The sequence below is a fragment of the Homo sapiens genome, chromosome 2, assembly GCF_000001405.40.
Source record: "Homo sapiens chromosome 2, GRCh38.p14 Primary Assembly".
Taxonomy (NCBI): Eukaryota; Metazoa; Chordata; class Mammalia; order Primates; family Hominidae; genus Homo; species Homo sapiens.
The window spans coordinates 140,973,316-140,989,686 of record NC_000002.12 but is presented as its reverse complement, the minus strand read 5'-3'; the positions used below and the strand labels follow the sequence as shown (position 1 = coordinate 140,989,686).

At 34.9% G+C, this 16,371-nt stretch overlaps 1 protein-coding gene across 3 annotated transcripts in view; it reads left to right on the top strand.

Annotated features, from left to right (window-relative positions):
- Positions 1-16,371, top strand: part of LRP1B (LDL receptor related protein 1B) — a 1,899,594-nt gene that overhangs the window by 1,141,330 nt on the left and 741,893 nt on the right. For all 3 annotated transcript variants that reach the window (NM_018557.3, XM_017004341.2, XM_047444771.1), the window contains exons 17-18: positions 30-155; positions 7,411-7,527. In NM_018557.3, the coding sequence (NP_061027.2) occupies positions 30-155; positions 7,411-7,527 (243 nt within the window). The remainder of the gene's footprint in view (positions 1-29; positions 156-7,410; positions 7,528-16,371) is intronic.

Below are 16,371 nucleotides of genomic sequence, written 5' to 3'. Positions count from 1 at the left end.
AATTAATCTTGCTTCCCCCTCCCTCCCAGTCAATCATAGCTGTCCTGATGATCAGTTTAAATGCCAGAATAATCGCTGCATCCCCAAGAGATGGCTTTGTGATGGAGCTAATGACTGTGGGAGCAATGAAGATGAATCCAATCAAACTTGCACAGGTAAAGGTTTGCTTGGATATACACGTAAATCTCCTCCAAAGTTAGTCTTAATAAAAATGCAAGTAAATGCTTTGAACTAAGCTGAACTTTCCTAGTGCTGATGATCTGATTATTGCAGTAGTAAATGAATTCAGAGTTTGATGCCACAAAGGCTAGAATACAAATTATCTTTTACTTAATCTTTGGACACTACTCTGCTTTCCAGACTAATTTGGCACTTCATCTATCCATATGGGTTGACTGTCGACACACTACTTGTACAAGACTTGTCCCTACTAAATCCTACTTGGCAGTGGAGGTTGATGTTTGCTAGCATGCTGTGATATAGGCCATCTCACAAGGAGGATTTTTTTTTTAACCTTGAGAAAATAATTTATAAATTTTATTTAGTCTACTATAGAATACCTCTGTGAATAGTTTTCTATTCATGCACATTATTTATGTGAAGTAGGTTTTTTTCCCCATGAAATCTCAAGACCACTAGCCTATTTATATTTCCATATAATCTACTCTATTGTAATAGATCTTTGAATCCCTAGCCAGATTCTCATTGAATGGAAATACACAGCTTGTGGTATAGTTTACAATGGAGTGCCAGAAAGGTCATTATTAATCAGATAAATGTTGAAAAATGATACTGACTAGCAGCAGCCTAGTGCTTCTTTTTAAATGATAAAGAAAAAAATAGTTCATTTGATGACTCATATTGATATGATTCATAAAAACTGATTTTTTAAACCATTATATAGAGCAACATCAAAACATATTAATCACCCCATCAACTCTTTCTGTCTTTGCCAAAATAAGCCTTACTCAATAACAAGTGTTATAAATTACCAGTGAAAAATACAGGGCAACCTCTAGAGAGAAGACCCAGGGGTTGAGAAGACTGGTTTCCATTCTTGGTCACCACCAGCTTTTTTCTTGGAAAGACATACCTCTCTGCACTTTTGATTTCCTTGAGCTTTTTTTTCCAGCACGGTAAGAGTATTAACTATAAATTGTTTCCAGATTTTCCCTATGTACAAAACAACACTGGCAAGAGCAAAACAGCCATCATTCCAGAGTCCTAGTCTATGTCTTCTATTCAGATTTTTTCCATAGTGACAAATTTGCTGAGGATCCATGGGCCAGTTATTCTCTTGTCCCCTGATTAAAAATCTGATCTGACATTTTAAAGTAAATGAATGTTTTGCAAGATCTTTTTGTCTCATAGCAAATCTTTTGTTTTACAAAAGACTTTCTAAGAGAAAAGGACCTCCAGAGACCATCCAGTCCTAAGTCCCTACCCTCCAAGCTATCCATCTTATAGATGGGCATGGCAGAGGGAACTTGCCTAAACTTAACATCATTGGTAAAAGATCAGGGGAAACTTGATCCAAGAGTTTTGTCTCCAAGGTCATTTCTCTTTATCCCAAATGATATTATCCTGCATATTAGCTAGAATTTTAGGTATGGTCAGTTCAACTTAGCTCAAGTTGCTCTTGCCATATGATTATAATTCATAATGAGACATCTTTCTAAATGAGTGCAATTCTTCTTCTTTTTTTTCGACAGTCTTGCTCTGTCTCCCAAGTTAGAGTACAGTGGCATGATCTCAGCTCACTGCAACTTTCGCCTCCCAGGTGCAAGCAATTCTCATGCCTCAGCTACCAGAGTAGCTAGGACTACAGGCACACACCACCATGCCTGGCTTTTTCTTATTTTTAGTAGAGAACAGGGATTCACCATGTTGGCCAGGCTAGTCTCAAACTCCTGGCTGCAAGTGATGTGCCCACTTAGGCCTCTCAAAGTGCTTGGATTGCAGGTGTGAGCCACCATGCCAAGCCCAATTATTATTCTTTTGAGGTTAAGATTCAATTCACAGATTATGCTTTATAACATCCTAAACAAACATCATCTGTTTTCACCTTAAAATAGAAGGCATTGCTGGCTCAATTTATAACACCATGTTTACTTCATTACTATTAGATTTTTAAAATCTGCTGGTTTCTACATGGTTTTTAAAGAAGCATTTGTGATTGGCTAGCTATTTATAGTAGTAAAAGTAAAAACGTTTATGTATAAGAGCAAATAAAACAGTTTTAATTGTTAGTTGGTGCAAAAATAATTGTTGCTTTTGCCATTATTTTCAATGGCCAAACCACAATTACTTTTGCACCAACCTAATAATAAGATATCTAAAATATTCAAGTCCTGTGGTCTACTAGGAAATAGAACATAACTTACTTAAATGCCACCTTAAGAGCTGCCAGATGAAGTCTGCTGCTCACTACTAGATCTTTTCGTCAGTATATTTATGACAGCTATTATAGTCACTGGATACCTTAAGAACTCGAATAAAAAGAACAAAGAAAAATAAACATGCCTTTTGCTTTGTAAGCAATGAAGTACATAGTCAAGTTACAAAGTACCTCCATTTCACTTCATCAAAATATATAAATAGGTCACATAGCTTACCATACTGGAAAAAAATGGCATATTTATGTAGACCATATTTCTTTCTGGATTTCAATCCATTGCTAGATATAAGTGAATACATGGACATATATGCTAGATAAAAAGACTTTCCAATGGGAAGTTACTTTGTTATTGAATCCGCCATCCTGTAGCTGTTTGCATTGTGATTATTTTATATCTAAAAGAAAACCCTTGTCCACAATAAGCCAATTTCCTATTTTTTCTAAAATTTCTACTTCGTGAATTTGTTTACTTCATTAAATATCTACCAAAGCACTGGTGATAGAATGAAAGAAAATACACAATGCCTTTCCTCAAGAAGCTAAGAGTGAAGACTGGGAGAAAGAAGTATAAGCAGGCTATTCTAATGCAATATTCAAATTGCTAAGTTGATCCACATGGAAGCACATGGGAAGAGTAAGGAATTTGGTCTTCAGCTATCTGGGAGGACTTCTTAAAGGAAGCACTGTCTAAGCTAAGCCTTATAAAAAGCTTAAGAAAAATTCCTAAGTGACAGTTCCAGCCATTCAATTAGAAAAAGTAAAATAATCTGGTAAAACTCAGCATTGGCAATACTGTGGGAAGAAGGAATTGTCATACACTCTTGCTGGGTATGTGAATTGATTTTCTATCTTGGAAGGTGATTTGGCCAAATTCAATAAATGTGAAGATGTGCATACCTTCAACTTTGTAATTCTATTTCTATGTTGATAATCTAATACCTGTGCACGAAGAGAGAGATGTGAATAAAAATTTTCATTGTCTTGTGCTATAATAGTGAAAAACTGAAACAATTGAAATGTCCATTAACAGAAGAATGGATAGATATATCGTGTTCTATTCATGAAAGAAATGCTATTCATAATTAAAATAACTGAACGAGAACTCAAATATCAACAAAAATGAATTTAAAAATAAAGTTAAATTACATGAGATACTCTCATCCAAGGAAAAAAAAACCACTAAATTGAAGAAAATAAACAGTACTATTTATATGAAGTATAAAATATAAAATAATTTTATATAGTGTTTATGAATTCATAAATAGGAATAGTATTATAATATGTCCAGAAATTAAAAAAATAAAAACAAATTAAAAGTAGTTACCTCTGGAAAGAGAGGGAGGGAAATGTGATTGAGAAAGATTATGTAGGAAATTTCAAATGTAAGTACATACATTTTTTTCTTAGATAAAACAAAAATAAAAATCTGTAACAAATATAGAAAAAAATAAGATTTGATATAGCTATATAACAGTAAACTGATGTTAATGATATTATTTCCTATACCTTTCTAGATGGTAGAAATATTTCACTGGGAAAAAAAAAAGAACAATTGACCAGAATAGATTGTCCAGGATGCGGCGAAGTGAATAATAAGAGAAAGGGTTGGAGAATTTGCCCAGAAGAGGAAACAGCACATACACAGTGGGCTGGAGCAAGTGGACACAGTCAGGGTGTTGGTAGCCGTTCTCTGTCAACATCCAGAATATTGTTGTCTACTTCTGAGGGAGACCCAGAGACTGAAGATGAAAAGTAGTTAGATTTGAAATTATGTTTCCTCGTAGTAACATGATCATTCCTTATATTCAAGCCTAGACAGTTTCATATCAACATTTCTCCCCACCATAGCGCTCTGGTTAGATTACATAATATTTGCTCTTCTCACATCCTCTACCAATTATAACTCAATTCATACTAGATAAGTATAATTGATTTTAAAAAACCCTAATGTATTTAAAAATTAGACTTTTCTTTACAAAATAATAGTGCATTTTGATATGACATTAAATAAAACTAAGTAGAATGCTTTGATTAAAATACAGGAAAAGTGAAGTTTAGGAATAGTGCTATGCTCTAGTCTCCTCTTGGCTGTATGGTTGGTGTGCCTTGTGAGAATTCTCACTGTTACATGGCTATAGGAGAAGCATGATTACAGCAAATCTCTGATTCAGCAGCTAGATAAACAATTCTCTTGAAGGAGGTGTAAATTTCTTCCTCCTTAGAGAAGCATTTGCCACAAAATTAGAGTCCTATGGGGCTGCTCTGCTAATCTTGCCTCCAAACTAACTTAGATCTGATGGAGACAAGAGATGAAAAAGTGAATGTTGTGAGTTTGTTTTCAGAAAAATTCATTGATTAGAAAGTGATAATTTAGTCAACTTGATTATATCATATAGATAAACAGTCCTTGGGGGTTTGTGGAATAAAGCATCTTTCTCATCTGAAATCAGTTAAAATTGCCTGGTAGACTAAGTGAATAATTTTCTCCATGATTAGAACAGACAATGAATTCATATATCTTCAGGGCATACTTTCCACTCTATAATAATCCAGTGAATACTCTTTGGAATAATAGGTCATAACAGTTCCTCCAGCTTCAGAGTTAATGAGGTAACACAAATTCCCACACCATCACAACGTGAGATGGGTCATACACAATATGAGACAGGTTCATAGAAGTTCTTTCTCATTTTCCTCTCTAATCACCATAGCTTTCCTAATGAAACAAAACAATCTGATAAAACTTTGCTAGAATTAAACCTGAATTATTAGGCAAGAATACAGTGACATAAGAATGTCAAATAAAAGAACATTGGTTTTGATAAATTTAATATATTCTTATTACAGGCCAATTAGAATTTTAGATAGAAATATGTGATAATGTCTATTTATATAAAGCAAGAATATAGAAAAGACTGAAGGAATGAAATAGTTAAAGAATGAAGGAGGAAGAAAGGTATGGAAAAGAAAAAGAAAAGAGAAAAAATAAGGGAAAACAAAGAGGCCAGTTAGGGTGAAAGGAAGTAAACAAGAATTGAAAAAAATTCTGTTATTAAATTTCTCTTAAAAGATAAAAAGGTATTTATTGTAACCAGTGAAACAGAGATATGTAAGGGAAAAATTATTAATCTCTCTCACACTTCTATTTTTACCCCTTCCTGTCAAGTAAACTAATGACATTAGATTTTGTGTATATTTCTATATCCTTCTCTAGGTTAATACAAATACATATATAGTTTTTTTCTCAGCAGAAATAATTTTATAACAATTATCTAAGAACTTTATTCATTTTCGTATAGATGACAGAATAATTTACCAGAAAATATGTGGAATTAAATGAGACAATATAGAATTATTTAATTTTACTTGTAATTTTAACATTAAAAACTTCAGAAGCATACATGTTTGCTGGAATATTTAAAATCTGTTAATTTAAAATAAATGATGAATTTGTAAAATGTAAAAAATCAGATAGTGCATAAAATATTTTAGATGTAGGAACCTTATCACATAAGCAAAGCAAAATACATACTACAATAATTTTCCTGATATTTCTAATTTTAGACACTAAGACTAGGAACAATCTAATGTATCAAACCAAGCCAGTAAATTTTTCATTTGTTTTTCTTGGATAATCTTTAAAATATTCACAAATAATGAATATACATCTTAACACTGCAAGTGCACTTTTCTTAAAAGGATAGAACAATGTATATATCTTTTAAGAAATTATTTTCAATGATTTCTGAAGCCCTAATTCATGGAACCCATTTTAGTGCATTTGATTGAGTTGGCTTTGCTCCACTCTTTCTTATATCAACCATTAGTACCCAAGTTCACAAAGTGTGTTGATGAGACAAACAATGGTTCTGAAACCTAGGAAAAAGGAAGTCTATAAACTCAGCAAGATTCCCTTATTGTAGCCACTGATACTTCGACCCCAATTATTCACTATCTGTTCAAGCCTCACCTATCCACAATTTTCACAGGACTGAGTATCCCTTTCCCAATATATCTCATTTTTTTCTCTAGTCCAATGAAAGGAAAGGGTAGAGGGGATATCGAGACTCATAAAGACATATTCGTAGTTCAGAGGGACAGAAGAAAAAAAGAAATGAAAATCAGAGGATAAAAACAACTAAGCATGTCACTACCAAAGGCCTGGGGGAAGAGGCAGGGAAGCTATTTAAGCTTTCATGCTTTTTAAAAGTTGCCCTGATTATACTAGAAAAGGATTATCAAATTTCCTCTTGAACATAACCCCTTTTCTGAATAAACCACTGCCTCCGGCTAACACAGAAAGGAAGATTCCATGTTTGTGTTCATTGAAATCCTTAAGAGAGCCCAAAGCAAAGTTCATTAATATACCTTGATTAAAAAGTCATACTTTTTAAAATAATTGTGCTGAAAAGTGAGTTAAAAAAAAAAACACCTTAAGGCCAAATGTATGTTTTAGAAAATATTCTCTGCACTCTCACTGCATACAGCAGATCATTTAGAGATCAAGAAATAAATGCATTAAAAATGTTAGAGGAATAGGACAATTCGACCCCATGATTAGAAACTAGATATCCTGAGATCGTCTCCAAATAATGCCTTCTACAATACTACAAAAAAAGTTTTCTTGGTTTATTAGCAAATGCTATCCACAATTCTTTTTTTGTTAATTAAGAGTTGGATGAAACTTAATTCAACCTTATATTCATAAGCATGTGCTGGGCAAAAGTTTAAAATAATGAATTCATAGCTTCATTTATGGAATTGTGTGAGGGTTACTGACTATCTTGTCATTTAGCAGTCATTGATAATTGAAGGGCAAAGCATGTGAACTTTAGAGAAGACAAGCAAGCTGGTATTCAGAAGCCTTAAATAAAAATGGACTTTTAAAATATTTTATTTTAATAGAGAAACATACTATCTTATGTATGAAAGGAATATTGCATGCTTAATTATATCCTTGATGTTCAAAATGCCTCTAAATTGATTTTTTGTTTATTAATTGATCATCATAGCCAGAACATGCCAGGTAGACCAGTTTTCTTGCGGAAATGGGCGTTGCATTCCCAGAGCATGGCTGTGTGACAGGGAAGACGACTGTGGTGACCAGACAGATGAAATGGCATCTTGTGGTAAGTTGTGAGTGAGACATGTTATTATTACAGATTGTGTCAGATAGGATACCCTACCACTACACCCTCCTTAAAGGGCTATTTATTTCTTTATGAGTACAGGTAAAAGAGGCAGAAGATATGGCATTTTTGTTACAAACTTTTGGACCTGATTGTGCGCTTTAATGATAACTTCTGAATAATTCCTATTTGTGAGGCAGAAACAATATTCTCAGCTAAAATAAATGGATTTAAACATTGCAGATTTTATTAGGAAGTGGTTATTACGCGGCTAACAGGACACTCTCAAATGTTCATTATTAATCTTAGGTCTGTAGTGATTAAACTTGTCAAAGAGAATAGTTCATGGAGTAACATTTGGGGTAAGGGAGGAGGACATGTTTCTTATTGGCATGTATATGTTATCTTCTGGGAAGAATAAATGATTCAGACTGAGATTACATAATTGGTAAATCATTGTTTTCATTTCCGTAGAGTCGTATGATTCTGACTGACAAACTCAATATTAGTTTAAGATAATATTTTTGTTGATGGCAAAATTCCCACTTTCAATAGATTCTCTTACTTTTGAAAATAGTAAAAATGTATTGTCACATGAAGTTGCAAATTTAACTACTCTCATTGTACTCATGCATCAGTATGTTTCGTTACCATTTGTCTCAATAATGTCTACTGAAACACAGTAACAGAATGAGCCAGGCTTTCTAAGACTTGTGCTTTATTTAAGTCATGGCAATAGATTTTTTAAAATTTCTATGGGAAAACTTTACCCATAATTTAGACATGTATAGCATATTTATTAAAATATAATACAATAAGTATACATTTTAATAATTTAACACTGTTATACTTTTAATAGTAGAAAAATAGGTTTTTTTAACCCTTCTGTTTATTATATTTTTCTTTTTTAAAATTCCAATAGTTTTGGAGGTACAGGTGGTTTTTGGTTATATGGGTAAGTTATTTAATGGTGATTTCTAAGATTTTAGCGCACTCATCACCCGAGCAGAGTACACTGTACTCAATATGTAGTCTTTTATCCTCTACCCCCTTTACAGCTTTCCCCCCACCAAGTCCCCACAGTCTATTACATCATTCTTATGCATTTGCGTCCTCATAGGTTAACTCCCAGGTGTAAGTGATAAGAAAACAATATTTGGTTTTCCATTCCTGAGTTACTCCACTTAATATAATGGCCTCCAGCTCCATCCAAGTTGCTGAAAAAGACATAATTTTATTCCTTTTTATGGCTGAGTAGTATTCCATGGTGTATATATACTACATTTTCTTTATCCAGGCGTTGGTTGGATGGGCACTAAGGTTGGTTCAGTATCTTTGCAATTGCAAATTGTGCTGCTCTAAACATGTGTGTGCATGTGTCTTTTTCATATAATGGCTTCTGTTCCTTTGGGTAGATACCCAGTACTGGGATTGCTGGATCAAATGGTAGTTCTACTTTTAGTTCTTTGAGGAATCTCTGTATTGTTTTCCATGGTGGTAACCTCTCAATTTAAATGCCTGTATTTGGAGGATGCTTACCTAAAATTTTCTTGTGCTAGACTATTATGTCCCTGTAAACATCTGAGTATATAACCTCTGAATAAAGTATAGATAAAGTAAGTGGTGGTAATTGACATAGTAAAGAAGGCAACAGCAGTGGTATGGAAGAAAGCACTAGAGAACCACACAATAGACAATAGAATATTTTACGTATATAATAGAATATCTGGAGCCTGACCAATAAAGTGGGTTGAGCAGTGTATTCTCTCTCTTTTCCACTATCCAGACTAATTGTGTGGTCCTATATCTGGCTGTGTCTGCTGCTTAGTTGCTCTGTATTTTAGAGAACTTGATTCCTTTCCACAGTGAGCATACTCATTCAGAGAATACCAAAAAGGTAATAAGCAATCTAATAACATTAAATACAGAGAGGCCCTGGAATCAGAGTCTCAATTCAGATAAGAAATGTCATGAAAACAATTAGGAAAATAAAGTATGAGCTCATTAAAGAACTTCTATTAGGTCTTTGATCTGATTTTCTCTTTTTTTCTTTTTTTTTAATAGGCCTAGGGCAAGACCTGTTTCTTTATTTTAATAACAATTTACTTGAATCAAAGGAGGAAAATACCGAAAATTTTATATAATAATCTAATAACTATACCAGCAAACTTGTATATCTTTTATGAGGTGAGGCGAAGAAGGGTTGGGAGGGCTGCCAGACACGTATCTTTCTATTAAATTTTTTTAATAACAAATCTATGAAGAACATTTTATGGCCCAGGTAAAGGAATTGAAACTTAGAGACTTTTAGAAACCTGCTTGAGAACACAAAGCTAATAAATAGTGGGACCAGACTATTAATCCAGGCATGCTTACAACTAGAATCCAACCATTTTAGGCTGACTTTGTTTTGTGATCCTTGCATGGGGTGCAGATAATGCCATTATACTTCAATGACTATCTGATTTAAATGCACATATAGTTATAGTAGGTTTCATTCCTTGTTGTGTTGGTAAATGTTTTAACATTTCCTGGTGGGGAGGAACCCTGATGTATTGTTTGCCTATTTGTGTGCTGTAAATACTCCCACCCTGGCCAATATCAAGTTGCCAACATGATTCTCTGAATGTGGAATTAGGATGATATGCAGTAACACACTAGTATGTATTATTTCCACTATTCAGATACAGCTGACACAAATAACTTCAAGAGCAATGTAGTAAAATTATCAGGAAATTAGAAGTCTCAGGTATATATTACCTTTGTTTTAAACATTATATGTTTAATTGTAAATTCATAAAAATTATTTTTTTAAAAAATAATGCCACTTGCTTTACAGCTGGCAAATAGAATCAGTGAAAATTTACAAATAGGCTCTCACGACCAGGTGTGGTGGTTCATGCCTGTAATTCCAGCGCTTTGGGAGACCAAGATGAGCAGATCGCTTGAGGCCAAGAGTTGGAGACTAGCCTGGCTAACATGGTAGAACCCCATCTCTACTAAATATACAAAAATAAGCCGGTGTGATGGCACATGCCTGTAATCCCAGCTACTCGAGAGGCTGAGGTGGGAGGATTTGCTTGAATCTGGGAGGCAGAGATTGCAGTGAGCTGAGATTGTGCCACTCCACTCCAGCCTGGGTGGCAGAGTGAGACTCTATCTCAAAAAAATAAAATAAAAATAAGCTCTCAAAAGCTGGTACAAGAGGCCTGCAGCACACAACTGGATATGAACACATTGTAATGATTTAGCAGCTAGACAGTTTGGTTCTGAAATATAGCCAGATTTTACAGAGTATCGGTAAACTAGCGGCATGGGTTAGTATCAGTACCATTTCTTCTTTACAACCAAGGAAACATGTTTTACCTCAGACATGTTTCTCTCTTCAGTAACACACATTTACCTTTCAGATTGTTATTTAAAATCAAAATTTACATCAGAAGAGAAGCTGACAAAGTCTAGTAGGCACAATTTCACTGTTAAAGTTATTATAAGAAAGAATGGCACAGATCTCTGCAAGAGAAATTATTCCTGCACTGCATACAAAACGACAAGGAGTGCAATTTTTTAAAAAGCACTCACCCTATTTGACAATATACTATAAATAAATATAGATTCAACTCATTTCTAGTTTTATTACAAAATTCATACTGGCCATATTTTGCTTTTGTCATTGGAATAGCCCAGATTCCCAAAGGTTTCATCCTACCAGAAGATGCTGCAATCATTTTTTTTGTTTTTACATTTCAGCTTCATGAACAATCTCTGTTAGGGTTATGGCTACTGTTACACATTAAAAATAATATTAAAATTTGGATTTAAAAACATGCAAAGCCTATGATTAGAAATGTTTCTGCTGGTAATTAGGAGTTGAAGGTGCTACAACTGAGGGTCAGGTTTTCACTGGAATTTACTAGCATCTATTTTCAAACCTAATTTATTTTACTTGCATTTGCCTTTACGAGTTAATTGCACATTTTAGGTTGAGATTATATGTGGGTGCACGTTTACATTAATTGGGAAGGCCCTCTGAGGATTCAGCTTTAATCTTTAAGCAGTTGTTTAACTTTTTTAGTAGTCTTCACATGTGGAAAGAAGAATTTGTAAATTGGTGATGCAGACAAGAGAAGACATATTCAAATTGTGAAGCCTGTGTTGAAAGTGGACCTTGTGTCAAGGAATTGGATGGTCAATTTAATTTCAAGGATAAGACTAACGTTGGTTCTCAACTTAAGTTGTCAATAAAATAATTACCAGGGGAACTTTAAAATCACCTGCCCATACCTCACTCCAGAGTAATTAAATAGAATCTCTAGGAGTGGGACCCAATAATTAGTATTTTTAATGCTTCCCTAATGATGAAATGTGTGATCAAATTTGAAAACTCAAGACATACATACAGTCTTTTGAGGAGCTTGTTAAAAAACAGAGTGCTGGGCCCCATTTCCAGAGTCTCTGATCCAGTCAGTCTCAGGTGGGGCCCAAGAATTTATATTTCTATTAGGTCAGTGCAAAAGTAATTACAGTTTTTACCAGTATGGAGAACAACAACAAAAAAAAACGCAATTACTGTTGCACCACCCTAATAAGAAATTCTCAATTAATGCTGATCCTTGTACCATGTGTATTTGATTTTATCATCTGTGCACTATGTAACGTAAGAATGTCTATATATGCAAAATTAATTTAAGTTGGAAGCAATTATCCTTACAAATTTCCTTCCCATATGTATTAGTCCATTTTCACGCTGCTGGTGAAGACATACCGTAGACTGGACAATTTACAAAAGAAAGAGGTTTAACTGGATTTATAGAAGCCTCACAATCATGATGGAAGGCAAGGAGGAGCAAGTCATATCTTAGGTGGGTGGTATGAGACAGAGAGATTGGGCAGGGAAACTCCCCCTAATGATACCCTCAGATCTCATGAGACTTATTCGTTATAATGAGAACAGCACGGCAAAGACCTGCCCCCATGTTTCAATTACCTCCCACTGGGTCCCTTTCACAACACGTGGGAATTCAAGATGTGACTTGGGTGGGGACGAGCCAAGCCATATCACCATCCTCAAATTACTATATTAAATATAAGGGCATTTCATGATTAAACATGATAATGTTTCAAACAATGACATGTTTTGTCCTTTAGACAATTTATAGTCAAGTATGATTGTTCTTTTTAAACTTTAACAATCTTTGGCTTGTTCTGTCTTCCAAGTATCTCATTATAGTTTATATTTATTATGTTTTAATAAATGTACCTTAATGTAAGTTGGTAGTACCTAATTCATTAGAAGCCTTCAACTTTGGAAATTACCTAAAGTTTGTTAGCAGATTGAAAGGTAGTTCAGGCTGGGTGTGGTGGCTCACACCTGTAATCCCAGTACTTTGGGAAGCTGAGGTAGGTGAACCACTTGAGGTCAGGAGTTTGAGACCAACCTGGCAAACATGGTGAAACCCCATCTCTACTAAAAACAGCAAAAAAATTAGTGGGGCGTGGTAATGCATGCCTGTAATCCCAGCTACTCAGGAGGCTGAGGCAGGAGAATAGCTTGAACCCGGGAGGTGGAGGTTGCAATGAGCCGAGATCGCGCCACTGCACTCCAGCCTGGGCAACAAGAGTGAGACTCCATCTCAAAAAAAAAAAAAAAAAAAAAGGAAAAAAAAAAAGATAGTTCAATGGAGTAGAAATAAAAATCTACTGAAGTTTGCAAAGTTAACATTACTCATTTTTATGGATATTGATCTTTTATAACCATGTAGATAGTAGGATTTTGTCTCTTGTACTTGTAGTCTTACTTGTAAATGCTCTTGTAATCTTGTTATCTTACAAAATTACAAGAAAAGAGAAAAGAGAGGACAGTAGAGGAGGGGGTAGGGAGAGGAGAGGAAAGGACAGGACAGGAGAGGAGAAGAGAGAAGAAGAGAGGAAGAGAAGAGTAGGCGGGCATGGTGGCTCATGCCTGTTATCTCAGCATTTTGGCAGGCTGATGTAGGTGGATCACTTGAGCCCAGAAGTTCCAGACCAGCCTGAGAAACATGGCCAGATCCCATCTCTACAAAAAATACAAAAAAATTAGCCAGGGGTGGTGATGGGTACCTGTAGTCCCAGTTACTTGGGAGGCTAAGGTGGTATGATCACTTGAGCCCAGGAGGTTGAGGCTGCAGTGAGCCATGATGCATTCCAGCCTGGGACAACCTGAGTGAGACCCAGCCTCAAAAAAATAATACATAAGTAAATAGAAAGAAAAATAGAGAAATAAGGAAGAGTTTCAGCTATCAAAATGGAATTTTTACCCAGTTAAATCAGTGGTAAGTTGTATCAAAGATAGTTTACACAAGATTATTAGAAAAGCAAAGTTCCTGATTAAGTATAATATTTTTTATTTTCTAAGAAAAAACCTGCATATGTGTGTAACCATATAATGAGGAGTAGTAATCCAGTGGAATATTGACATGAAATATAATTATTGTCCAGCACTGCTTTCAACTCCTTTGCCATTCCTTAATAATATCTTTGCACCACACAATGAGTCTGGTGACTTTTAGTTTCTATAACTTGTTCCAACCCATTTTGAAACACCAATATTATATCTTAGTCAAAGCTTTCTCCTCCCTCATTGCTGGCCAGACTTCAGGTTCTAAGAATGGGGGGAAACTATGTCCTGCTTATATAACTTTAGCTCTTCAGGCAGAGAGGAGACATGGAGGAAATGAGTAACATCTTTTCAAGCAGGTCTAGAGGAAACTTCCTTTCTGCTGCTGTAAATTTCACAATCCTCTGACACATGAGAAATGCAACTCTATTGAGAGGCTTCTGTGTGAGATCTTCAGAGAGGTTTGAGTCTCATCCCTCTTTAGGATTCCCTGAACTTCCTCCTTTTCATTTCTTCTCTCTTCTTTTCCCTTCTTCAGGGTTCCCTGCATATCTAGATCTAGGTTTCTTTTATTCCCCATAACTTCTCATTCTCACCACAGGATGTATATCTCATAGCCTTAAGTTGCTAGAATCCCCTTGCTTGGTGGGCTGCCCTTTTGGTTGCATTACTGACGTAACAAGAGAAGGTTTGCTGTCTTTGCTAAGTCCACTTTTTTTAATTTTTTTCCCCAAATGTTGTGAGCAGGCTGCTCTCTTAATGGCCTATCCCTTGGGCCTGCGATCACTCTCCAGTTCTTTGTTCTTCTCTAGATACAGGTAAAAGGGCCAGAACACTTGCAGAAAAAACATCTCATCAGTGCCTTCTCAGGAACCACACAATTTCATGAATGATTCTCATGGAGTCTGTCCTTCTCTTGCATTTGGGGATCTCTCCACAGGTTGGTCCACTGGTCTCTCCAGAAGGTTGACTTGTGCAGTACTCCCCTATTATATGAAATGGTTCCAAATATCGGTTTCTCTCTGTAGAACGTGGGGATACTTGGTGTCTCCTTGTCCTTAGTATTGGATCTAAGTGGGCCAGGGCCATGGCGAAAGAAAGAATCTCACTATTACATGCTTTTGTTTTTTAACTGACTCATTTTGTTTCTCTGTCTCTCTTCTTTTCCTTCTTCCTTTCTCCCTTCTAATCTCCTATTAAAGCAGGTTTGTACACACCTACTAGTACAAACATATACATGTTTATTCAATATATGAACATTTAGAAAGAATAATAAAAGTTATTTTAGTTTTCACAGTATAAATAAGGAGACGGAAGCACTGAAAATTGTGTGTGCAAAGTTGCAGAATGTGTTAGTAGATTTCAGTTGGATATCAGTCCCATTCACTCATAGTTGCTTATTCTCACAGAATTAGAGACTGTTGTAGTTGAATAAAATGCTTTGTAACTTAATCTCTTTTCCAATATAGGAATTCTTCTAAAACTGTTCCCAGAAGTGCTTACCTACTGATTGTTTAAATATTTTCAGAAATAACTCAACATTTCAGAGGGTAATTAATTCCACTGTTGGGCAGTAAGCAATGTCAGAAGATTCTTTCTTCATGGAGCTAAGATCTGCCTTCCTAAGTATTCTACCCACTGATATTTGTGCTGTCATCTGAAGCTACATGGAATCAATAACTTTGTCCACAATCTGGCTCTTGAGATAACTAAAGACACCATCATGTCCAAGCAACTCTTCTGATTTACAGGTTAAACACACCACTTCTTTCAGCTTTTTTCTTACATGACTATGTTTGTAGGGGCTTTTCTTACCAATTGCCCTGCTATTCATTCACTTGAATTTTAATAATCTTATTAAAATTAATAGCCTAAAATGAGAGATTAATATTCAATGTGTATAGAATTTCAAATATGCAAGATGAAAAATTTTTGGAGATCTTCTGCAGAAATATATGAATATAGTTCATGTTACTGAACTCTATACTTAAAATGGTTAATATGGTAAATTTTATGTTATGTATTTTTATCACAAGTTTTAAAATGTAAAAAGTTCATGTGGTAGAAATTTGGTATTTTTTACAACAGATCATACTGGGCTTTTTACCTTTAGTTATTTAGCTTCTAGGTTTCTCTTAAAGTAATCTTGGACGACAGCCTTATCATGTAACTGACATGTTGAGTTTTCAGTCAATTAACATGCTGCCTAAGCTTTTCTTATAAACAAGTTGGCTTTTTAGGGATATTTCCAATGTTTACATTTCAAAAGTTCTCTTAGGTTTTATTTTGATAGTCTTCTGATTCTCCCTTATCCACACATTTCAAAATATGTACATGAGTGAGGTCCTCTCTACCCCCCCATCCTCCTACAATTCTTAACTTTTTTGTAATTTTGCAGTTTTGAATCCATCATCCATCATAGTACTGATGTCTTCTAGTTTTGTGTAAATTCAAAGATTGGATAAGCC